We start from the raw sequence: 25663 nt of genomic DNA, 5'->3' as shown, positions 1-25663 counted from the left end.
ACTTAGGAGCCAGGCATTGATAATCTCCTGGAGGATTGGTAAGAGTTGAGATTGGTAGATCATGTGTGTGTGTGTGTTTTTAAAAAATATGTCTACATTAGGTCCTCAGAACAGAGATGGCTAGCTGATCACCGGCAACGTGGCATTCCCTTTCCAGGAGGTTGAATGCCATTTTGCCGGGTTTACATTTCCCAAGGCTCTTGAATCTAGGTGAGGCCTTTGGCTATTTCTGGCTTATTTAATGTGAACCTAAATTATTATGTGTTACTTTGGAAGAGGTGGTTAAATTTTTGGTAGGCCATGCCTACACTCATATTATTGCATGAAAATAGTGGTATGTTATGTTGCAGTTGCAAACAGTAAAAGTTGGAAGGAACCTGGATCCCCTAGTTTGTGTTTAGGAGAACAGCCAGACCAGGAATATCCACATTACATTTGGCATAGATGAGAAATAATTGTTGATTATATTAAGTCATTGAGGTTTTGGGGTTCTTTCCTCACTTAGCCTACCCTGATTAATATACTTCTCTCTAAGGACACTTCTACAGGGAAGAATAGGCCCCCCAGATCGTTTTCTAGTAGCAATTATATTTCACCTGGATAACTAATATGTAGATGTTGATATTTTCTTGAAAGTGTTCATAGAATTTTTAGTGTGTACAGCTAGAAATGCAGGCACAGTAGACTGTGGTACTAGGAGTTGACATGGAATGCAATTGATTGTAGCCACACCGGGAACAGGACAGACAAGGTAAATAAATTATGAATTCCAGGGGAAAGGAGTTTGCAATAGCTGCTATTTCATTTCCCTCTTAACCCCCTGTGACTGTAAACACGCTTATAGATATATTTTATTAATCATTGTTTTGATGTATCTGGAGTTTGCAAGTGGCTATTGTAGCTAGGGGATTTCTGGACACCCCTCTAGCTGATCAGATGAGGGACACAAATGCTGCAGTGACAAGCTAGTCTGTGTATGAAAAGAGAAATGGAAAAGCTCTCCCTCACCAGCACTTGTAACTAGCTATTTGTTTAAAATAACAGCTTTAGGCCTCTTTCCAACTGTGCTGTCCTCACTTCTGTCTACAGATGATGGACTTTAGACTGAAAATTACATGAGAGATACTTAACAAGTGGATATCTTTCAAGGGACATCATCAGAATAAAACACTTCAAAATTCACTTTATGCTGCTTGAAGAAAGATAGCATTGATATGATATTTTGAAAGAGCGATAACTACCAGAACTTAAAAAGACCTGTTCATTTTATAAAGGAGGCAAAGAAGTGTGTCATTAATGGTACAGTACGCTAAATCTTGAGAGGAGAGGATAGGCTTTGCATAACTCCAGACTTATCCACAATAAACTGTGTGTGTACTGGTGGTTTATTTCTATCTACACTTCATTGGGTGGTGGTAACTACTAGTCTCAAACCTTGATTCTTTCCCAGGACAGCTCACAGTGAGGTCTGACCCAATCTAGCATCACCCTAGGTCTCAGAAAACCTGGTGAGATCTCTTCTCATTCTGAAGTCCGTCTTGGTAATCTTGCCATATTACCTTTTACTATAGAAATATAATTTTAATTTTTGTCTGATTGTTCCTCTGCCTTGTTTACCACTCATCTGTTTTGTTCACTGCTGCATCTCCAGTGCCCAGCACACTTCCTGGCACATAGAGTACATTAATTCACTGTGGAATATACACAGTTGTAAGCAAGGTGACTAGAGATGGCAGGAATTGGAGAAGTCTTAACATCTAAATATAAGATGGGGCTTGGGACAAAATGTGAAGGTTAGATAAGTTTGAATATGCAGAGATAAAAGTGTTCCACATGGAGAATGGAACACTAAGGAGCTAAATCTAGGAGTCAGGAATGGGTTCAGTATGTTTAAGGGACAGCAAGTAGACAGCTGGGGAGACTGTGGAGGAACGGAAAGTGTGTTTCATGGCTTTAGAATGTCAAGCATTAATAGAAGTATGCAAAATTCTTCATTGAAAATTATAGGATAGCCTTGCGTTAACTCAAAAATTGTAAAATACCCTGTATGGAATAACTTTACAAGTTAAAACCACACACTTCAACTTCTGTTATCCTGTGAGGTTCATCTGCATGAAGCTCTCTTTAATACTCTACATGTAAAACCAGAATATAAGAGCATTTTTGGTTTCATGGCTTGCTGTGGACTGAATGTTTGTACCTTTCAAAATTAGTATGTTGAAGCCTAAGTTCTCAATGTGTTCAGCGGTGTGGCCTTTGGGAGGTAATTAGGCCATGAGGTCAGAGGCCTCATGAATGGGATTAATACCTTTACAAAAAGATAAAGAGGCCAGAGCTCATGTACTTTCTGTCTCTCTCTCTCTCTCTCTCTCTCTCTCTCTCTCTGTCTCGGTGTGTGTGTGTGTGTGTGTGTGTATGTGTGTCTGTGTCTGTGTATCTCCACACCTACGTCATGTGAGAGTACAGCAATAAAGAGGGGCCATCTTTAAACCAGGAAAACAACCCTCACCAAGAACCTCATACCCTGATCTAGGACTTCCAGACTCCAGAATTATAAATGCATGTTATAGCAGCCAAACTAAGACGTGGCCGCAAACCAAAAGAGAAATTCATCACTTAGCCATTGCATTTTCCCTTCCTGGCCACCAAGATAGAGGACTTTTATGGGTCATGAAATATTTCCTGGAGCAGATGTGGTTATAACAGACATAATGTTAGTGTCTCTTTGTGGACCAGAGTTCATTTGGTTGGCTTTGTGCACCCAGTCCTGGAGAGATCTGGAGGAGCAGGGCTAGATCTAAGATGTCATTCTGATGAGCTGGATATAAAGCCAGCTGCAGTAGCCCCAATGTGTTTAGGGGCTCATATTTTTAATGGTCTCATCTGCCTGCTTCGCTCCAACTCCTGATAGTTAGAGAATAACACATTTATCACTGGTCACTACCCCATAAAACTCTTACATATGAAGCAGGAGTCTTATTTCTCTGATTCATTTCCTTCTTAGACAAAAGCAGAAGAGCAGGTAGTCTTAACAACCTTCAGCTCAGTAATCTTAGCTCACTTAGGAAGGCCAATAAATCAGAAAGAATATTCTTCCACCTCAAACCTGTTTTCCAGCAACAGTAATGACCATTACTAACATGTATTTCATCATTGCATTAGGGTTCTCTAGAGAAACACAGTAGGCTCTGTCTGTCTGTCTGCCTGCCTATCCATCTATCTGTCTATGAGGAAATTGATTATAGGAATTGGCTCACACAATTCTGGAGGCTGAAAAGTCCTACAGTTTGCCATTGGCAGGCTAGAGGACAAGGGAAGCCAGTAGTGTGATTCAGTCTGAGTCCAAAGGCCCCAGAACCAGGAATGCCAGTATGCAAGGGCAGAAGATTGATGTCACAAGCCAACTAAAGATAGCAAATTCATCCTTCCTCTGCTTTTTTGTTCTACTTGGGCCCTCAAAGGATTGGAAGATGCACACCCACATTGGTGAGAGTGATCTTACTCAGTCTGCCCATTCAAATGCTAATACCTCCCAAAAACACCCTCACAGACACACCCCAAAATAATGTTTTACCAGCTATCCGGACATCCCTTAGCCCAGTCAAGTAGACACCTAAAATTAACCATCATACCTATGTTATTTATTTTCAAGAACCAAATATTTTTATGGCCCCCATTATGCATATCAGGAAACTGTGCACTGAGAGTTTAAGGAACTTCCCTAGAGAAATATAGTCGGTGAGTGACAGCCTTATTTGTAGATTCATGATATGTTTTTATCTAACATATAGTCACTGTATAATGCTATCCTTTGTCTCCATTTTAAAAGGGAATGATTTTAACATTTCACCTAACATCTTCACGCTTTTCCTTGGGATCTTTAAGTTTAGACAGCCACAAATATCACTTTAAGAGAGATCCTTTACAGTGATTATTCAGGTAGAACTAAGAACACTACAAGAATGCAGTGAATTTAATACCCACTTATTGGATGGCCTGGGCTCGAATCCCAGTGTTCCATTTACTAGCTGTGTAACTTAAGCCTGTTTTCTCATCTGTAAAAATTGAGATAATACTTCTCAAGGGATTTGAGGCTTAATTAAGATACTATATGTAAACCACTTAGCACTGTACCTGGCACGTGAAGACCTCTGTAATTGCTGTTAGTATTGTCTTCTAAAATATACAAAGTTGAATTAATAATGGTAGAGATATTTTCCTAGTTCAGTAATGTGCACTGCCTTACCTTTTCTTTCTTTTTTTTTTTTTCTTGTAGAGAGCATATGTTGGAGAACCTGGCGTTCTATGTCATGAGAGAATGAACCAGAATGGGGCATATGCTTCTAACCTGAAGACAAGACTGCAGAATTGACTATATACACAGTCCTGTGTCACTTAAAGACAGGGATACATTCTGAGAAATGCATCATGAGGCAGTTTCATCATTGTGCGAATATCATGGAGTGTCCTTACACAAAGCTAGACGGTATACACCTACTACATACCTAGCCTCTATGGTATAGCCTGTTGATCCTAGGTTACAAACCTGTACAGCATGTTACTGTATTCAATACTGTAAGCATTTATGACACAATGGTAAGTATTTGTGTATCTAAAGATATCTCAAGATAGAAAAGGCACAGTAAAAATACGGTATTATAATCTTATGGGACCACCATTTTACATTCAGTCCATTATTGACCAAAGCATCATTATGCAGTACATGACTGTATTTGTGTAAGGAAATTTAAAAATAAAAAGGTATGTTTGGAAACAGATTAAAAGAGGGATCATAAAGTGCTGAAAGGACTCCTGTTTGAACCCTGAAATTTCTCTAGCACTGTTCCTAAACTTTTGGGGTCACTGGCCAGTTAATAACTGTAGAAAAACCAGAGAGCATGTACCTTCTAAATGTACCTACACATGAAATTATGCATACAATTTTGGGGATTCACAGAAAAGTCCTTAAAGGTCTATCCATGTGATTGCTCTCAATATGTATGAGAACACCTGGCCTGAGTGAAAATTCTCCATCAGGAGGCTTCTCCCCATGGCGAACATGGAGTTAGAGGTTGAAGGCTGAGGAGGAGTTTTGTAGGTAGAAAAGAGAGAAAGAGGCCAGGCGCAGTGGCTCATGCCTGTAATCCCAGTACTTTGGGAGGCCAAAGTGGGCAGATCACTTAAGGTCAGGAGTTCGAGACCAGCCCAGCCAATATGGTGAAACCCCGTCTCTACTAAAAATACAAAAATTATCTGGGCATGGTGGCACATGCCTGTAGTCCCAGCTATTCAGGAGGATGAGGCACAAAAATTGCTTGAACCCGGGAGGCGGAGGTTGCAGTGAGCCGAGATTGCACCACTGCACTCCAGCCTGAGTGACAAGAGTGAGACTTGGTCTCAAAAAAAAAAAAAAAAAGAAAAGAAAGAAAAAGGAAAGAGAGAAAGACATTGCAGTAGAGGGGATTTCATGTATGAAGTTACAGAAGGGTGAAAGGGAATAGTGGAGTGGTCTCTGGGGAAGAGCGAAGGGGCGGGGACTAGATGAAGAACAGTTTTTTATGCCATGCTAAGGAGTTTCACTTTGTCTTTAGACAGATAGTATCAAAGTGCTCAGATATTTACAGCGGAATGAGGCTAATGGAGGTCTTGAAGCACCTACTAGAGTTATAATGACAGCAGCTACATTTTATGATGTATATATAAGATTTGGTTTGAATTATATAGCTCTAAAATGTTGGGAAAATGTTATAAGCAATAGACACCAGAGAAGAATTTTAAACAGGAGATTGACTTGAGCCCATTTGTATCTGAAAAGATGCCTAAAGCACAAGAACGCCAGTGAGTAAGTCCATATGAGTCACATCTCTAGCTCAGCACTGTCCATACTTTGCGCAGTGATGGGAGTGTTTTGCATCTGTGCTGTCCCATGCAGAAGCCACTGGCCACACGTGGCGACCGAGCTCGAAATGTGGCCAGAGTGATGGAAGAGCTGAAGTTGTAATATTATTCAATTGTAATTAGTTGAAATCGCTATGTATGGCTACAGCTACTATTTTAGGCAGTGCAACTCAGTGGTCTCCTGTCTCCACAAAGGAACGTAGCCCTACTCATACCTTGATCGTAGCACACGGAGACCTGTGTTAGGCTTCAGACCTGTGGAACTGTAAGATGATGCGTTTGTATCATTTTAAGCCACTGTGTTTGTGGTAAGTAGTTACGGCAGCAGTAGAAAAGTGATGCAGTTATGAATCTAGAGTGGCATCATTAAAGGGGCTTTTGGCAAACATTATTTCAGGTTAAAAGTTACCAACTGAGCTAATTTTTTGAAAAAGTTTATTTTTTTTATTATCTGAGTAGTATATGGGCGTTAGACAAAATTTGGAGAAAGCACAGGACACTATAAAGAGGAAGAAAGCCCTTTTCAGAGGTAGATAATAATGTTTGGATATATTCTCCCTAGTTTTTTAATTGTATTTTTGTAGTGGAGATGATAAAGAGCTAACAGTTATTGAGTGATTATTATGTGTTAGTCCCTGTTCTAAATACTTCACCGATATTAACTCATTTCATCCTCATTACAATCTATGATGTAGGCACGGTCTTCCCATTTCCCAGATGAAGAAACTGAAGCAAAAAGATACATCACTGGCTTATCTGATTAGACACAGCAGAGTAAGGCATCTGCCCCAGGCAGTAAGTTTCGGAGCAAGGATGAATTCTATGGTATACTGCCCGTATTCTGAATATATGACTTTTAATCTTGATTCCTTTCACTTAACCCTTTAAATTCAAAAATTTCTCATGTTATTAACAACTCTTAACTGTGGTTTGCAGATCATGTAGGTGGTACAAGTGTCACCATTTTCTTTTTGCCACATTTATGCCAAAAATTATAATGACCTCTTTATCATTGAGAAGAGGTATGTTAGAAATAGAAACTCTTTAGCTTAAAAATGAAGTTAGCATAAGGCTAGTTTATTAATAGAGATGGAGGGTGTGGGAGCAAGTGTCAGATACATTTGTAAAGTTATTTACTTGGAACTTGAAGCTAATTTTTCTGGAAAGTAATATGATACATAACTGGACCTTCAGTAGCCCCCATCTTCCCACATACCTATTTTCCCTGCAAAGTAATGGAAATAGTAAATGCTGTTAGTATGTTGAGGTTCAACCCAAGAGCTTATGTGTAAGGGAAAAAAAATACCCCCTAGGGAGTGCAACTATAAAATTAGTATAAAATTGATCAGAACAGAGATATGCAAAGTTACCTTTAAGAAGCAAAATAGCTTTGGGGCCTATAAGAATGTTACTCAAAGAAGGGAAACTCAGTTCTTAGCCCTGGAAGAACTGAGAAATTAGCCCCTTGAACAACCACTGGCAGCATCCCCAGGTGGTACTACATATTGTAGAGGGAGCTTTAGCCAATGACTGCTGAAAGATCTGTCTCTCTGGAAAATAGATGCATCAGCCTGTTTTAGGGAGTATAGCTAAAATCAGCTAACTCTCTTGTTTTATTTGCATACTCGCCTAATAACTTCTGGTTAAAATTGGGCTTCTTATATAGATCTACAGGGAGACATTTCTCTGGTTTTGTTGCCACAAGTATTACAGCTCTGTCATAATTATGTTTATTATTGTAAATTAAAAGATAGGTGTTGCAGTTCTATAAATGTTTCCTGAGTTTGATTAATTCAAATGTACCCCTTGAGAGATGGGTCCATTCTTAGCAAGCTGACAAAATCAGACCTCGAGCAGAGCCTGTGATCTGAACGTCAGGCCCTGAACTGGGTACCCACCAGGTAGCCTGGGTCTTCCCCTGGCTTCACCTCCTCTAACATTATCATTGGCCAAAGCTAGGCTCCTATGATTATTTAAGTAATTTTAGTGTGTGTTTGTAATAAAAGAATAGGAAAAATATAGTTGCAGTCAGTAATTACTACAAAAGGAGGGTAAGAGCAAAAAAATAACAGTTTAATTGGAGAAAGATGTAGCTGCTGTTGCTGCTGATAATGATGAGTAACATTAATTGTGGACTTAAAAATTTGTGAGGCATTGTGTTATACACTTTAAATAAGTTATTTCATTTAATCCTGTGCACAATTTACCAATGAGGAAATTGAGGGATTTAAAGGTCAAGTAATTCACCCATGGTCAGATATCCAGAAAGTGCACAGCCAAGATTACGGTCCAGGCAGCACAAGCCTTTGCCCAAACTCTTGACTGCAAAGCTCGATTAAGAAGCTGGGAAGGAGGCTTGAGGGGAGAAACTATGGGAGCCTTTTATTTCAGTTTCAGGAGTTGATTTATCTGGTTTATGGTTAAACTTTCTTCTTTTTGACCAGGTATATCATTGACTTCTCATACTGACTAGTCCGGATATGATTCCAGTCTTGGCTCACTACTCAATCAAATGGTGGGGTGGGGGTGGAGAGCTAAGAAAAGTGGATAAGACTTGGAAGAGGCTGAGGCAGAGTGAGATGGAAGAGGTCAAAGATGATATATGTGTATGGAAAAGGTAGCCAGATAAAAAAAATTAAGCAGTGCACATCAACAGAAGGAAAGAGGGACAGCAGCTTTGATGCCCAATCATAATCCCTTTGAGGGAGAAAACGAGTAGATCAGACACCAGTAACTAGAGAATCTTTGTTTCTGACTGGAGAGGCAGTGCGGGGGGTAATGGAAGCACGCTCAGTTGGATATCAGTCTGCATGTTCCCTGATTTGTAACTGGAAGTCCTTACTATTGCCTTTGAGCTCTGGAACTGTTTTATTGCTTTTATAAACTACTAGTTATCTTCTTTTAGGGGGACATAACAGATGGTCATGCTGGAACTGAGCTTTTTATCTGAATCTTCAAAACCTTTTTGTGCACAATTTATGAGGTTCACTTCTTTGCAAATTCAGTGCTTTCTTGTAGCTTTTCCTTTTGAGATGAGCCACAAGAGCCTCATTTTTGTTGGGCATTGCCTATTAGTGGCAAAATTCCTTTCTTATTTAATCAGCTTCTCCAAAGGAATAAGGCTGAATCCAGATAGGTTCTGTTTATGAAGACAAAAAGGTTTTGGTGGTCTAACTAAAAATAACACAGGGAATCTGCCACCTGGGTCTCCCTTTGATATTCATCTTATATTTTTATGCATTTTGCTCATGAAGTTCCTGCTCGTAAGTCAGCCCCTTTGATCATGGAAGAAATTTGACTGGGTTAAGTGTTTGTGGCTATAGAAAGGACAACCCCAACCGGTCATGTGGTTGGAAGGCAAGGCTGACATAACCCAAGATCCTTGCCTTGTTGGGTTCAGAATATACAGAGGATCGTTGCATACACTCTCAGTTGAATGAAAAAAAAATGAGTAAAACAGTATTATCTACGGAAAAAAAAACTCGGAAAATGGTATGTTTTTCATAATTACCAGAAACCTGCAAGATAGGTGGATACACACGGGGCTCAGAAAACAACCAAACCAAAATCGACTTTGCAAACTTCAGCATCTTCATAGTTCATTTTGTTCTATAGGCTTGTTTCCCAAATCATTTGGAATTAATACTGTTCTGGTTTATTATTCAAATTCGTGAATCCACCAGAGGTACTTTCGCCAGCTTTTGTGCAGTCTCTGAATATTACCTAGACTCCAGAGTGGCAGTATAGTGTCTAAGAAAACACAAACTTTGGAGTCAAAGCCTTTGGGTCTGCTACATATAAACTGCATAACTTCAGGCTAATTGTTAGAGTCTTTAAATCCTTCAGTTTTTCTCAACTGCAAAATGGAAATAATAACAAGTATCTTCCAGGGTTATTATAAAGATGAAATCACACGTACACACACGTATACATATATATGTGTATATATATATATATGTGTGTGTGTGTGTATGTGTGTATATATATATATATACACACACACACACATATATTGCATAGTTTGTACTTTGCATGTATATATGTATGTGTAAAGTGCTGGCCTGTAATACACACAATAAACAATAGTTGCATTATTGTTGTTTGGTTGCACTTTGCTTCTCTGTTGTCCTTGTGAAGGAAGAAATGCTTCTCTCAGTGGTGGGTATTGTTTGCTTACGAAGTCTCTGAAAAGTTCTTCAATAAAGAAGCCGGTTAAAATTCTTATATGCTGAATGTTCTCAAGCTTATTTGATCACCAAACCAGTTTTTCCAGTAATACTTATTAATATCCTGTGGATTCACTGCTCTGCAAACACAGCAAACATACTTCAGGAAATGCTGATCAGGTAGATATAGCCATGATCTTTAATATAGAAATGTGTATTTTGAAGCCTTGTTGTACACTTCCTGGGCTCTGTGACTCTGACAAGGCACTGAATTTAGCTGCTACTATCAGTTAAGGCTCAGCTCATATGTAATCAGTTCCAGGACCACCGGTCCCCAGGAAGAGGGTAAGAAACCTTTCCTGTATGTACTTATAATCAGTGCCATGCAGAGCCATACTAGAACCTGAGGCACAAGACAAAAATCAGCCATCCTGGTGTTGTCTGCTTTTAAAATGAAGTTGTTTGCTTGCCTTGTCCTAGTCCTGGCCCTGCTCATAATGCCCTGAACGTGTATGGATCATACTATAATAATGTATTTATATATGTCTTCACAAATAGACCAAAAGCTCCTGGTAGGTCAAGACCGTGCCTCATTAATCATTATATCTACGGTACCAAGCTCAGTACTGGCACGAAGTCGGTTTTGATAAATGTGTCTCTGGTGAGAGTGCTCTTTTCCCATATATCTACTCCTTCACTTCATGTTTCTGCTTAACTGTCATCATCAGAGAGGCTTTCCATGTAAAAGGGCTTCCCTGTCACCACCACCTCAATATTTATCCCTTGTGTTGTTTAGTTTTTCTTCATGGCACTTACCATGTCCTGACATCTTTTTGAATTGCACGTGTGTGTGTGTTTCCCTTGAATTAAACCTTGGTCGAGCAGGGTCTGTTTTTTCATTCCTGCATCCCCAGTACCTAGAATGGTGCCTGGTATGTAGTAGATATTCAAATATTGGTTGAATAAATTAATAATTAAATGGATTCATGACTATCTTCTTTTTCTTACATTGCCTCATCTAGCAAGTGGAAATAATGCAATCTCCCTTATCTGCTATTAGGGTTACATCAAAATATGTATGTGGAGGCACTTAGTATAGTGCTTTGCCCATTGTTAGTAGTCAATAATGTATGTTAAAGAAATCTGTATCTGGCTGAATGTGAATAGAAGATGGTAACTCCTATGGATTTTTTTTTAAATATTGATAACTTCTGTGCCAGAGTTTTCTAATACTGTGGAGAGAATGTGAAACACCATGGTGTCATTTGTTGAGTGTATTTTTATAAGCAGAATACGAATGAAGCAACAAACTACTTTTGTATAGTATTCAATCAGAGACTGAGATAATGGCTTTTCATCTTATGGTCTTACATATTATCACACAGCATCAAGGGTATTAGAGGCAAGTGTCTGGGCTTGAATTCTGTCTCTGCCCTTTACTAATTGTGAGTGATTGCAGATAAGTCACTCTCCTTTTGAGGTTTAGCTTCTTCCTTTGTAGAAGAACATTGTAAATAGCTATATCTCAGATTTGATATAAGAGTTTTATGTGCTCATTTTATAAGACATAATTAATGTTAGTTGCTACTGTTCTTTTTACAACTATTACTACTACTGGCACTACCACTGCTGCTGCCAATACTACCACTACTACCAATTGACATCTGGGAGTTTAGAAGACGAAATATAAAGAAAAACAAATGCTACCCACTTTTTTTTTCTCTCATAAACTTTTAGCAGATCTCAAAGTCCAAAGGGAAGCTGAAGCCAGGACAAATTGAATTAACAGATTATACCCACTGACAGAATCCAGAAGCTGCTACTGCCACCAGTGGGCTGTCTTTTGGGTCCTGTAACTCCAATCTCCACATCCCCTTAGGGTTCACCTGCTATCTCAGGGAGGTTCCAACACAATCTGACAAATCTTTAGGACAGCATCCCTTCACTAACAAGCAGGTTGTTGTCTTGAACATGAAGAATTGCAGATGACCCACGTTGCTAGTCTGTTGATGCATGATTTCTCTATTTCCTGTCTATGTGTTTTTCACAAGGTAATTAAGCAGTTTTGCATAAATTAATCATTCCTATAAAGTGCAGAGTATTTCCAGAAAAAGTCTAGAGGTATGACCTCAGTATCCTTGGAAGGGTGACGTCAGCAAGGCCATGGGAACTTTGAAGGAAGTTCAAGGAGCTGTTCTTAAAAGTGAATCATGACTCTTATAAGGTTATTTAAAGATTACACTGCTAAAAAGGTATATTTGTTTATGCTGTTTTCCTGAGGACTTGAAAAGAGCTAGCAGCTTCCCTTGGGTGCTTTTTCTTGCCTAACTCCACTCACTTTCTTTTACTACTTCTTAATTTATTTTTGGAGAGATCACAGCAAACTGTGTGTGTGTGTGCATGTGTGTGTGTGTGTTCTCGGTAAGCATTAGAAAGAAAAGATAGCCCCCTTAAAATAGAATTACTGAGAACATATCTCCTTAAAAGAAGCTGAGATAACAGATTTCATTAAAACTGTGCTTTAATGGAATTGAAGGAAACTCTATCATTAAGATGTGTTTGCAGAAGGTAAGTAGAAAGTGATTTTAATTATTGAGTGTTTCTAAATATATCCACCCACTCCTCCCCAACCAAGTAATGCAGATCTGTAGTTCCAGGAAAAACCATGTAATACCACTGAAGGATGATAAGAGGTATCCAACTGACCGTCATTTGGCAAGGTCACTTTTTAATTAACCCAAAGCAGAAATAAACCTAGAATTTTCTACTCATATAATGGAACCATGTTTTGAAATACTACAACTATGCTTCTTTCCCCCATATTTTCTGCTAAATTTACCATGTTCCCCTTTCAGGCAGTAGTAAAGTTTTCATTTTTTTCTCTCCTACGGTTTGCTATAGCCTATCTGTAGAAAGATAGAATAGGCAATGCTCAGATTTTGGGTTTCAGAATTAACTTTTCAAACTTGAAGCACAGATAAACCTCAAAACAGCTGTGGGAATTCTGCTTTCCAAGTATCCTCCTTTCCAGAAAGTCAGGCCGGGAAGGTACAGAGTCATAGAGAAGCAACTGTGGCCAGCATGGTTTAGGCTGGTAGGTGAGAATGGCTACAAGAGGTGCCCCGGCAGGGGCGGGCAGCTTCAGAGGGTCCCCATCCCTTCATGGTATGGAGTGTGGAGTGGCAGAATGTTTGCCCATGTGGCTTGCAGTAGGGCAAATGTGGCCCAAGAAGTTAGAGCTGGAGAATCTTTATAGTTGCAAGAAGAAGATTATGGCAGGCACCAGATAGGAACATGCATGTCTTATCAGATGGATAGCAAAGTCATAACCTTGGTTTAAACCTTCCCTTACAAAGGATATTCTTGTCACATGAATTTGTGACAATTGTAAGCATACTTGGGAAATAATGGAAGTTCGATTAGTTAAGTTAATATGGTAGCACTTTCCATGCTTGGCATTAATTCTTGATTTGGTGTGTTTGGCAACTAAGAGTAATTGTATTAAATAGTTTCCCTGGAAGGAGAGTGACAAGGCAAAACATGCTTTAATTGGAAGAATGCAAAGGATATTAGAAGGAACAAAGACATTTAGATTTTAAGAATAAGGACTGGGTTTTATTCATCTTTACGCCTCTAGTGGCTACTAGCACAAAGTCTGGCACACAATGTATTGAATGCACATAAGTGCTTAATAAATGTCTGTTGAATGAGAAAAAGAGAACGTTTCTATCCTATTGAATCCTCACTAAAATCTAAAAGGATTTCAGCAATTTAGTGCAGATATGAAGAAGGTTTTCCTGGTGGGAAATTGTTACGCTGTGAAATAGAAACTGAGGGAAAATGTGCAACATCTTGGGAGGGCGCTAGGCTTTAGGCTTGTTCTAGCCTAAATGTCAGAGGTAATTTTGCTGACTTTTCAACACTAAGGTATCTATGACTTAGTCAACTCTTGTTATGCAGAGTTGTTAAAAAAAACTTTAATGAAATGACATAAACCTTAAATGAATATTCCTAAGTGAAAGAAGCCAGTCCGAAACGGCTACATACTGTATGATTTCAAACGTATGACACTCTGGAAAAGGCAAACTATAGAAATGGCCGAAGAGACTCAGGGGTTGAGGGGAGAAAGTGATAAATAGGTGGAGCACAGGGAAGTTTTAGGGCAGTAAAATTATTCTGTATGATACTGTAATAGTGGATACACGACAGTATGTATTTGTCAAAACCCATAGAACTGTACAATTCAGAGTGAACTCTAATGTAAATTATAGACTTTAGTTAGTAATGTGACTGTCAGTTCAACTGGAACAAATGTGCTACACTACTGCAATATGTTAACACAGGAAAACTATGGCAGGGAAGAGAAAGGGAATATATGGAATGTACATTAACTCTATACTTAGTCTGCTCAATTTTTCCATAAATCTAAAACTGCTCTAAAAATTGTATATTAGTTAAAAAAAAAACTCTGGAAATCATCAAGACGTTGAGAAATGGGGGTTCTCTTAATTTGGGGGACTACTTTTTCTAACATGTTAGTGAGAAATGGTACACCAGCCTTTCTCTACTAGTTAGGAAGGATTAAGAGACATTGAGAAAAGAAGCATCATTATTCTCTGTCAGACAAAGAAAGTGAATTGTAGCAGTCAGTTCCTTTATGCCTACTCTAACTGAAAGACACAGGAGAAAAAAGGCTCTTCTTTGACTTTTCTCCCTGGCAATTGATGGCTTATGCTCTTGGCAGTTAAAGCAACTGACACGTGAGTAGGTATATGGAAATCAAAGTGCAGAATAGAGTAGAGTGCAGTCCTCATTCAACATTTTACAAAAGTAGGGTCCAGTATTCAAAAGGAAATAGCAAATCCCATTCCCACAGCCTAGATTATTCCCCCTTGCTCCAGCATTTCCTTGTGTTTTGTCTCAAGCTACTGTCATATTTTGGGGACATGTTGATTCCTTTGGTGCCACTCCAGCCTGCTATGTAATGCCAAATGGTATTTCCAGTTTGTATTTCCTTCTTATCCAACTATTAGAGTGGACTTAGCCTTCTGTTGATTTTTTTTTTAATTTTTATTGGAAATTGAGCAGACGGATTTGAATTCCTAATTTTCTTTAAAAATGTGACAAGTATTTGTTCCTTTGTTCCTTATTTTCCTCTTGACCAATTCCTTGTGTCTTTGCATCTTTTTCTTTAAAGGCATCTCACTGATTAGTCTCATCTCTCTGTGTTCTAGGCATCTCTTTGGAAGCTAAGTTCTCTAGAATTGATTCTCTTTTTGTCTTGATACATTATTGTCCTAGTTTCACACTTGTAGTGTACGTAGGTATATGCACAAATAATATTAGTGAAATAATTGAAAATTAAAATACTAAAATACAATTCATACTTATGATGGCTTTAAAAAAAGAGATTGGAGAGACATATTTGTCTAGTCTTTTATTGAGTACTATAAACCAGCTACCTTGCAAAATGTTTAAGATAAATTATCTTATTTAACCTTACTGAATGCCCCCAAGAAGTAGACTAATAGTCCCATTTTACATAATAGAAGGATAGTGAGACTACCAGAAATTGGCTTGCCTGTGGTTAGATAGCTAGTAAATGGTAGAGCTAGGAGGCAAATTCAGATTTATCTTACTGTATAATCTACTTTGCTTTTAATTGAAAGAGCATTGGTTTTATCATCTGAAAGGTTTAGCTTTGAGTTCTTCCTTTGGTGGAGTGGGGACATGCAGAACTCTTAATTGACTTACTTAACCCTTCATTTGTCTTTAAAATGGGAATGATATTCATTTACTTTCAGTATTGATCTGAGAAGAGGTCATGAAGTAAGGTCTTTGCACAGAGCCTAGCATACAACAATATGAGAAGTGTCAGTTATATTTACATTAAAGCTATTGTTTTTTTGATGATATAATTCATCCTGGGACAGAAAAGTAAACTATACTAATTTCAGAGATAGAAATTATCACATGTCACTAGATCTGTGTTCCTTACTGTTCTAGTCCATTGTGTGATGCTATAACAAATACCTGAGACTGGAAACTTGATAAAGAACAAAAATTTATTTTTTCACAGTTCTGGAGACTGGGAAGTGCAAAATCAAGGTGCCACAGTTGTTTGGTGAGGGCGGCTCTCTGCTTCCAAGATGGCGCCTTGATGCAGCATCCTCTGGAGCAGGAAACACTGCGTCCTCACAGGTCAGAAGACAGAAGGGCAAAAAGAGACAAACTCCTGTCAAGCCCTTGTATAAGGGAACCTAATCCTGTTTACAAAGGAGGAGGTCTTGTGGCCTAATCATCTCTTAAAGGCCTTATCTCCTATTAGTATCAAATTGGCAATACCTGAATTTTGGAAGGGACACATTCACCTGGGATGTGTGACTGAAACCAAATCTTAAATTGTTGAGAATGTAGTCCCATATTGACATCTGCAATCTCATTTCCCAACCCTGTGGCCAAAAAAATATTAGGAGACCTGATGGTTTTGCTCTTTTCTTAGAAGCTGTGTTTTTCTGGTCAGCAGATACCTATACAATTTAATGCCAGACTTTCTTCTTCTGTCAGCACATCTGTCTCAAACCTTCCTACTAGACTGAAATGATCTATTTTCAATCCTTAGTGAGACTCTTGTTGGATTAAAGGTCAGACATCCACATCTGCAGATCTTGCCTTGCTTCTGCAGCTGCCTGTGCAAACAGCAGTGTTACATTGACTTGTTTTGCTGTCTTCCTCCTGCGTCTCTTTCTACCAGTCAGATATTAAAGCCTTACCTTGGCTAGGTGCTTACTTGCTTTTGCCACTGGTTTTAGGATTTGAAATGCAGGATCTCCAGAATCAAAATTATTAAAAATAAAACCAAGCAAAATAATAAAACATAAGCAACCGGTGACCTTTCAGACTATAGCAAATGGCATACTGGATGTTTTAAATTAAACACATTTTGAAATTCCTCTTTCATGCTGTAATGTAGACTTGTTTTTCATTCTATTTTCTTTAAAACATGCTTTTTCAACCTTAGGAAAGTCTGCCTTATTTTCAAGAAGAAATTGGATCCAAAATCCAAGTCAGTCTGTAATAACTTTATGGCATGGTGGCAGGCAGGGGTAGGGGGACACATTGGTAGTTTTCTATATCTTAGTACTCTATTTTTGTCAAGTTAACCTACATGGAACAAATATCTGAATGGCTGTGGTGTGTCAAATAAAACTTGCGTGGCACAGGGTATGAAATAGCCAAACAGAAAAGGTCTAGGAAGCTACAGGTGGGAGGGTAGTTTAGAAAATTAAAAAGGAAACATAAGGATGCTAGATTTCAGCCCAACAGGAGGCCAGTTTCTAGTTATGATACAACCAGGAAGCTCCACTTCCCACAAAAGAGCTTGCAAATGAAGACTTTTCAACAACCTCAGTGGCCTAAAGAGCACAAGGCAGCCGGGCAGAGAATGCCCAGAGATGGAAATGAGACAGAAAGGCTTTTTGCGAATGGTATTGATGGAAAGTAAAGTTTGCTTAGTGGTGTAATTGACTGTGTTGCTGACTTAAAACCTGAATTTTAAACACTTACAGATATAGACAGAGAAAAAGTTTTGCAATTGAAAATCTGAACTCTAATACAACAAAGCAACATGCTAGTGTGCCCTTTGGTGGAATAAGAACAGAGTTGGAATGGAAAAGATCATCTGGCATTTAAACATTACCAAGCAAATATCATTCTTAGGTACACTGGGCTAGGGTTTATCAATGTCTTACTAAGTAGGAGTTAGAAGTTGGTAACAGAATCTTACTTTATGGAAATTGAAATTTGCCATATATTAGCCATGCTTAAGCTAAACACAATGAACTGCAAATGAAAATTCCCACGTCAAAGGACTCCTCTGGATTTTGTGAAAAATGAATATTTGAACCAGGTGGTCCAACCTGACCACTGAAGTAACGGGCATACCAAAATTATTTTATTTATGTTTTGTTGTCAAAGTAATAGATATGCATGTTAAAAACAAAGCAAATATTAAAAGAACAGCCTATGTATTTTTTAAAGTGCCCTGACCCTGCCCCTCCCTGCTTCCACTCACTATCTAGACTCAACTACTTTTAACTACTTCTATTTTTAGATCTTCTGTTAGTTGTGATTCCAGCACTAAAATATATGTGTAAACTACTTTATTGGTAAACATGCATTATCTGTTGCCCCACATGACTTTAAGATTTAGCTCACCTCCTTCCTTATGCCTATCAAATTTTATAATTGTATAATTGTGTTTATTTCTTCTGATTATTTTTATAACTAATTACATCTGTATTTTTCCATTCCACCAACTTCTGAGGGAATCTTTTTTCTTTCAGCATTCTCTCCTTCAGGCTGTCTACAGTTCTTGCCCAACTCCATTATCAGAGCCTGAACTTCTACAATGTAAAAGGCAAATAAGTTTTACTTTCGGTTTCATAGGGAGGCTTAAGTCTCCCTTGCTTTGTATGCAGATTATTTAAATAGCAGTATAACATTCTTCACAAGGAAATGAAGCATGCATAGTCCAGGTTATTCTGCTAGTTACTTTATGAGATCTGAGAAATCAGTATAGGTGAAATAAATGGAAAATGATTCATGAGGCATTAGGACATGATCTGAGTCTTACACAATGCAGACTGTGTAAGCCTCAATGTGCAACTTCTAATGGGCAGAGAGGTTGAAGGTATAGAGTGGATGCGAAAACAGAATATTCAGAATGAGTCTGGTGTAGCCAGGTGATAGACACATGACAAGGCAATATGGAGAAAATTATTTCTTGGAGCAAAATGGTGGATAAAGTTGGAAAAGTAGTTTAGAACCAGATGGTTGGCTACGTGCCTCAGGCTGTCTGCTTCCCAAAAGTTGTAGCCTACACTTTCCCTGCCTCCACTTCCTGCTCTCTCTCTCTCTCTCTCTAACCTCTTTCAATCTGTTGAAAGCCCACATAGCTCTGTTAAAATTGCTCTCAAAGACCACCAGGACCTTCACTAATAGTCTAGTCCTAACCCATATCTTCCTTTGAATCTCTGAGATTTGATACTATTGGCCATAATCTACTTCTTAATGTTTCTCACTCCCTTTATCATGTGGCGTTGTAGTCATGTTCTTCTCCTGTCCATCTTAATATTACTCCTTTGTCTCTTTCAGTGTGCTTTCTTGAGGGTCTGTTGGGTTCCTGCACTTGACTCTCGTCTCTCTCCATTGGTCATTCTGTTCACTTCTGTCTTCCTTATGCTGTTGACTCCTGAGTCTCCACCTTTGACGTAATTCCTGTGTTTTAGATCTACTATACATTATCAAGAATTTGCTGAAAATCTCGTTCTGAATAATCAATCAAAACTTTTTTTACGCTCAGCATGTGCAAAATTCACCATATCCCCTTCCCTGCCAATTCCTCTTCCTGTCTCCTCTGTCTTGCTTAGTTCTGTCATTGTCCTTCAAATCAGCTAGGTTCAAACCCTAATTATAGCTCTTGATTTCAACCCCTGGCTAGCCTTCATATCCAGTCACTCACTGAGTTCTATCCATTTTCTACCTATGTCATTTCACCCCACCTTTACATTCCTAGTATTGGAACCCTGATAGGGCCCCCTTTTGGTCTCATGTGAATTGAGGCAAAGATATTCATATCTTCTAATGTCTCCCCATTTTAATCTGTACTTTACAATAGTACCAGAGTAGGATAGGTTGGATCATTCTGTCTCTTGCTCAGAACCTTTCAGGGTTCCAAATTATTGGCAGAATAAAGGCCTAATGCTTTACCTGGCCTGCCCATTCAGGATCATCCACATTGATTTTTTCCAGAGCTGTTTTTCACTGTTTCCTCTCATGGAACCTATAGTTGGGCAATACTAGGATTTCTCAGTTTTTCCTCCACTTGATTTCCTTCATTCCTTTGCCAGATTCCTGTCTTAAGTTCATGACATCTTATCTTTCACAGAAGACCCACATAAATTGATAAATTGCTGCCTGTGTCATAAAGTCTTTCCTGTGTAACACTACTTTTCTTCCACTTGAGTAAAATAATATGTCTGTTTCCTTTGTTATATATATATATATATATATATATATATATATATATATAACATTTTGCCTTATACCACTGAAATATTATTCAGGGATGTCTTAGTCCCTTTGTATTGCTATAACATAATACCAGAGACTGGGTAATCTATAAATAGAAATGTATTGCTCACAGTTCTGGAGACTGGGAAGTTCAAAATCAAAGTGCTGGCAGATTTGGTGTCTGGTGAGGGATGCTCTCTGCTTCAAAGATGGCACCTTGTTGCTGCATCCTACAAAAGAGACAAACACTGTGTTTCCTCAGGCAGAAGGGACAGAAGAGGTGAAGTTGCCCCCTCAATCCCTTTTATATTTTATATTTTATCCATTCATAAAGTCAGAGTCCTCATGGCCTAATCACCTTCTAAAGCCCCACCTCCTAATATTGTTGCTTTAGGGATTAAATTTCAACATGAATTTTGGAAGGGCCACAAACATTCAAACCATAGCAAGGAATAAGATAATGGCTTAATTTTATATCACTCCCCTTCTCTTACCCTGGGAACAATTTGTTATTTAACATGATTATAGAAAGGGTGTATTTAATGAGAAAGACATGCCTTTTGAGGTCAAATTGCTTAGTAAAAGCAAGGGTCCTGTTAACCATTTTATCTTAAGCAAGTCACTGAGCCACTTGAGCTTTTGTAAAATGGGAATGACGATACTTGTACCTCCAATTCTCTGAGAATCAATGAGTTTATATCTGTGCAAGAACTTCGCAGATTGCAGGGTTGTATATTTTTCTTCCTTTTCCAAGAGTTAAAGAGTTATAGTCTTCCAAAACACTGTCTACCAGGCTGTATCACTCTAAGATGGGTGTTACTCACTAATTCTGTTTTAGAGAGGAGGACTGTGAGAAAGGGAAGAATTGAAACTTACATTTATCTAAATAGATATCCTGTCTCTGGAAAGGATTCATAGCCCAAAGAAGGAGGTCTACTTTCCTTGAAACTTTTTGTTAAATACGCTGAAGTGCCTAGAACTTCTGAAGCAAACCCAGAAATCTCCAGCTGCTTCAGTATCCCTTTCATACCCAGGCAGGCTCCCGGCCAATTTAACTAGGAAGGTACTACAGGTCTCAGTGTCCTTGGGAAAAAGGTCTGGAGAAGGCATTCACTCAGTCTGGATATCCCCCTGCCCACCAGAGGGTGCTCCATGCAGAGGCAGTAAACCATGGTAATAGACTTAAAAGTAGCCTGTGGAGCCCTAAGTTCAACTCTTTAGTTACTCTTTTAATTTAGCCAAGTTGCCTGTCATTTTAGAATAGGAACAATGGGATAATACCTGCTTTGCCTAATTGTTAAGATTAAATGAGTTCATGTAAGTGAGAGCACCTAGCTCTAGTCCTGGCATGCTATTGGTACTCTGTGAATTCCCTCCTTCTTTTACTTCTTCCTATTCTCCCATTTCTTCTCCCTGTTGTAGAGTTTACTCCCTTGGCTTGGGTCACGAGAGGCTTCCTCAGAGCAGGATCACGTCACTTGACCTGTCTCAGGGTCCCTTAAATCTCTAGGGGTTGTCACTCTAAATATAGCTTTTGGATGAACAAGGAAATGCAACCAGTCAGCAGCTCCTAGTGGCTTCACAAAAGCAGTTACTGGCAGGGAGCCCGCAGTTAGAGAGTGTGGAGACAAGAATAGTACTCAAGGCTAGTTCAGGGTTCTTTCTGCCAGTTTCTGCTGCCACTGCACATGTGGGCACAATTGGGGATTAACTCTTCCCTTCTGTAGTATAGCCACAGCCACAACTTTTAAGTATGAGCTCAAATTCAGTTCCTTATAGAAAAATTATTTTCTCATGCTTAATAAAAGGGCACAGTAAGTCCACCTTATGACCAATACCTTTGTTTACCATCCCAAAATTATAGATTACAGGCCTTTCAGGTTGTTTACTAGGCTGCCTTGTCTATCCACTTAAGCGAGTTTTGGGGAGGCCCAAATGGAGACATGCACCTCTTGAAAAGGTACAGACCGTATTTTAGCAGACACTTACTTAGTTATTCCTCTAGTTACTTTAGGGATGATTACTGCTTTGCCATGCTTTCCCAGACCACTTAGCTTTATTGTAGCTGATTGCACAGAACTAAGATACCAGATCACATTTGGTCTGCTTCAGTGCCTAATTCATTGGTCTGCCCTTGACAGAAAAGGGGAAGTATCTGTTCTCTCACTCTGATGATTAGTGGCAGTTGATATAGGTCACTGGCTTTCTGTGTCTGTGTCTAGTCTGGTCTGGGCATCTCAGAGTAATTCTTGCTTTCTGGAAGCCAAAAGGAATAGAGCCAGAGTATTAGGAAAAAGAAATTACTCCTATGGAAAAATAAAAACCAGCACCACATACCCAGAAGATCATTGAGTGGTTTTTTGTTGTTGTTTGTTTGTTTTTTTCACTGAATAAAGTAGAAGTTTGGTTCCAGATATCAGCTGCTTTCTCTTAAACAAGCTTGAGGAACATAGTATACCACTGAGATTGAGAGAGCTTAAAGTGCAGGATGTTGAGCTGAATAGGAAATTGTCATGTCCCAGGAGGGAAGGCAAGAAGAGAGATTCACGAATGGCATTCATAATTTAAAACTTCAGCTATTTAATGAGCACTTTCTTTGTGCTAGACACTGTTGTAAATGCTTTATGTGCATTATTCTACACTGACCCTCAAAACAAACCTATGAGATAGGTGTTATTCTTATTTTACAGATGAGGAAATTGAAGTTTAGAGAGGCTAGGTCACCTGACCAAGGTGACTCCAGTAAATAAATTCAAAGTTCTATTAAAGTCATAGTATATATCATTATTTTTATCAGTTAAAAATATAAGAAAGAATATGGTTTACTCAATTGTCACTTCTTAGGAGTAGAAGCATTTGATCACATTGATTCAAGTACTCACTACCTAAAAAGGTGCCATCGTTCCTGACATGGCTGAAGTGTGGATTTACCACAAGAAAGGTAAATTTAGAAAGGTACAATTCAGGCTGGTCTGCTGGCTCTCCCTTCTACCCCTCCCGCCCATATGGCTGCACATCACCTTGCACTTCTTTAGCCCTCTTCACACTGCACTGTAATTGCCTAGTGGTCTGACAGCCCTTTAGACTGAGTGACCTAAGAGTGGGGTGGGAACCAGGTCCTTTTCTATCTCTCCAAACACTGGATACAAGGCCTATAATAAAGTAGTTCCTCAGTAAATGTTTGTTGGATGAAAATCAGTGTATTCAGTGAGCCAGTGAGCTAAGTCTTTTATAATGAATAAACTCCAGATTATTTAAGTATACATGGAGCCAACAGGGATTTAGCACAGAGTATTAGGAAACAGAAATCTCTCCTTTTATGGAACTACGTGGACCTACAGATGCTCGTTCAGAAAAAAATCATTGAAATTTTAAAATGGACTTATATGGAAATATGTAAACACAAAGTTTACATTGTGTCACTTTTTGGACACCTTCTCTAAGGGAGTATTGGAATATAGCACCCAGTCATCCAGTCAGTGAGAACTGTATACTGTGCCTGTGTGGGACATCAAGAAATACAGGGGATTGCTAATCCTCCTCAAGATGTGTGTCAGGATGTGCTTTTCAAAACACTGTCTCAAAATCACTGAAATCACTCCATCAGTCACAGACACCTGAACAAAAACATGTCCTTTTATGTCTTTATACAACTGTTCTGATATTGGGGTTTTAAATATCAACATAAACCTTGCCAAATTCTTGAGGCTTATGTGAAGGCTTCAGTTCAGCCATTTGTTGTTCGAGTATCTTCGTCCTGTCTGGCACCTTGGTTTTAGAAATAGACACGGCAGCCTCAGAAAATGGAATATCCATAAATCACTTATGATGATGGAGTGTGACTTTATTTTCGTGATCATTTTTGCCCAGGTGCCTGTTACTGTGTTACTAAAACAGAAGTAGACACTATTCCACTGTTTGGCATAGAATCTTGACAAAGAACTATTTGCAGAGGAACAGGCTTAGAATCTTAGTTTGTTTCATTATCACCAAGAGTTTCAAGGTTTGAAGTGTGCATCCTGGTAGGGTAAAGTGTTTGGGACCAAGATCAACTACCTTGCTGAGAGTCCAGAGGAGGAACTGCTTATTTCTCATAATGGTCTTGAAGTAGAGTCTACCATGGGCTGTCTGTTGACACGCAGCATGCACAATAAAGAACCTTCAGTTTTAATTCTTGGTGGCAAAGTCACGTCCTATTCTTTGGTTCTTTTCAAATCCAGATTGAGAAGTCTGGCTTATGGAAGAGCCTGCCCAACTCGTGCACTTCCACTTTCTGGCTTCATAGCTGGTGCTAGAGATATCTGTCCTTAAGGTGTTACCATGAAAGTCTCCTGCTATTTCATGAATTTATATTCTTGACCTAGCTCAATTGTGAGTGCCATAAGGGTGGCAACTTATCTTTTATTGCGTGTGTATTTTCCCCACAGCACCTATTACAACATTCTGAGTGCAGAGAAGTTCTCATTGAATATATTGACTGAATGACCAAGATATTTGGAAACACATTGGAGTGGTGACACGATGTCAATATAATCTCTGGCTTGTGGTGAGAAACATACAGAATTTTAGCTATTGTTTCTCCAGATGCTCTGGTGTAGAGTAGTTGTGTTGTTTTGCTTTGTGTCATCTGGCCTTACCCTCCATTCCCTTCCCTTCCTTTTCTTCCCTTTTCCCTTTTTAAAAAATTTTCCCTTGCTTTCCCTTCTTTCCCTATCATCTTTTTAAGAAAATATATCTGCATGGTTCTTGAAGACTTCTCAGGGATATGAGGATGGAGAGTTTAGTATAGCAAGATGTCATAAGAACAATGTATGTTCCACATGGTTTGCCTCTCAACCTTTGAGTCTCAGTTTAGTTTTGTGTAAAATGGGGATATGACATCTGTGTTGTGGAGCTGGTTGCAAGGATTAGATATTTTAAAGGTGCCTAATGTTATTAGCAATTGGCATCAAAGGAGCTCAATAAATGGTATAGATTCTTTTGTTGCTGAAAATTTTGAAATTAATTTTTTTTTTTTTTTTTTTTTTTTGGAGATGGAGTTTCGCTCTTGTTGCCCAGGCTAGAGTGCAGTGGTGCAATCCCGGCCGACTGCAACCTCTGCCTCCTGGGTTCAAGCGATTCTCCTGCATCAGCCTCCCAAGTAGCTGGGATTACAGGTGCCCGCCACCATGCCCAGCTAATTTTTTTTTTTTTTTGTATCTTTAGTGGAGATGGGGTTTCACCATGTTGGCCAGGCTGGTCCTGAACTCCTGACCTCAGGTGATCCACCTGCCTCAGACTTCCAAAGTGCTCGGATTACAAGTGTAAGCCACCACGCCCAGCCTGAAATGGAAATTTATAACTAATTTTTGTTACTCAAATGAATTATATGTTCAGTCATTTCTATTAAGCTGTTAAAAAATGGAGTAGGATGACACAAAAAGGCTCTACTTTCTGTTCCAAGAATATTTTCCACACAGTTTTGCAGGTGACAGGAACAGACCCACACAGAGCATGCTGTACTGTTTGGTACACAAGTCACTCAA

The 25663-nt window shown here is 38.9% G+C and overlaps 1 long non-coding RNA gene across 1 annotated transcript in view; it reads left to right on the top strand.

The window, feature by feature from the left end:
• LOC101929563 (uncharacterized) overlaps positions 1-25663 on the top strand; it is a 171709-nt gene that overhangs the window by 63022 nt on the left and 83024 nt on the right. The window contains exons 10-11 of the long non-coding RNA NR_121602.1: positions 4277-4596; positions 6594-6693. This is a non-coding gene — a long non-coding RNA (uncharacterized LOC101929563). The remainder of the gene's footprint in view (positions 1-4276; positions 4597-6593; positions 6694-25663) is intronic.

The sequence above is a fragment of the Homo sapiens genome, chromosome 9 (genome assembly GCF_000001405.40).
Source record: "Homo sapiens chromosome 9, GRCh38.p14 Primary Assembly".
Classification (NCBI taxonomy): Eukaryota; Metazoa; Chordata; class Mammalia; order Primates; family Hominidae; genus Homo; species Homo sapiens.
Note: the sequence above shows the minus strand (reverse complement) of the source record. Positions and strands in the feature narration are given on the sequence as shown.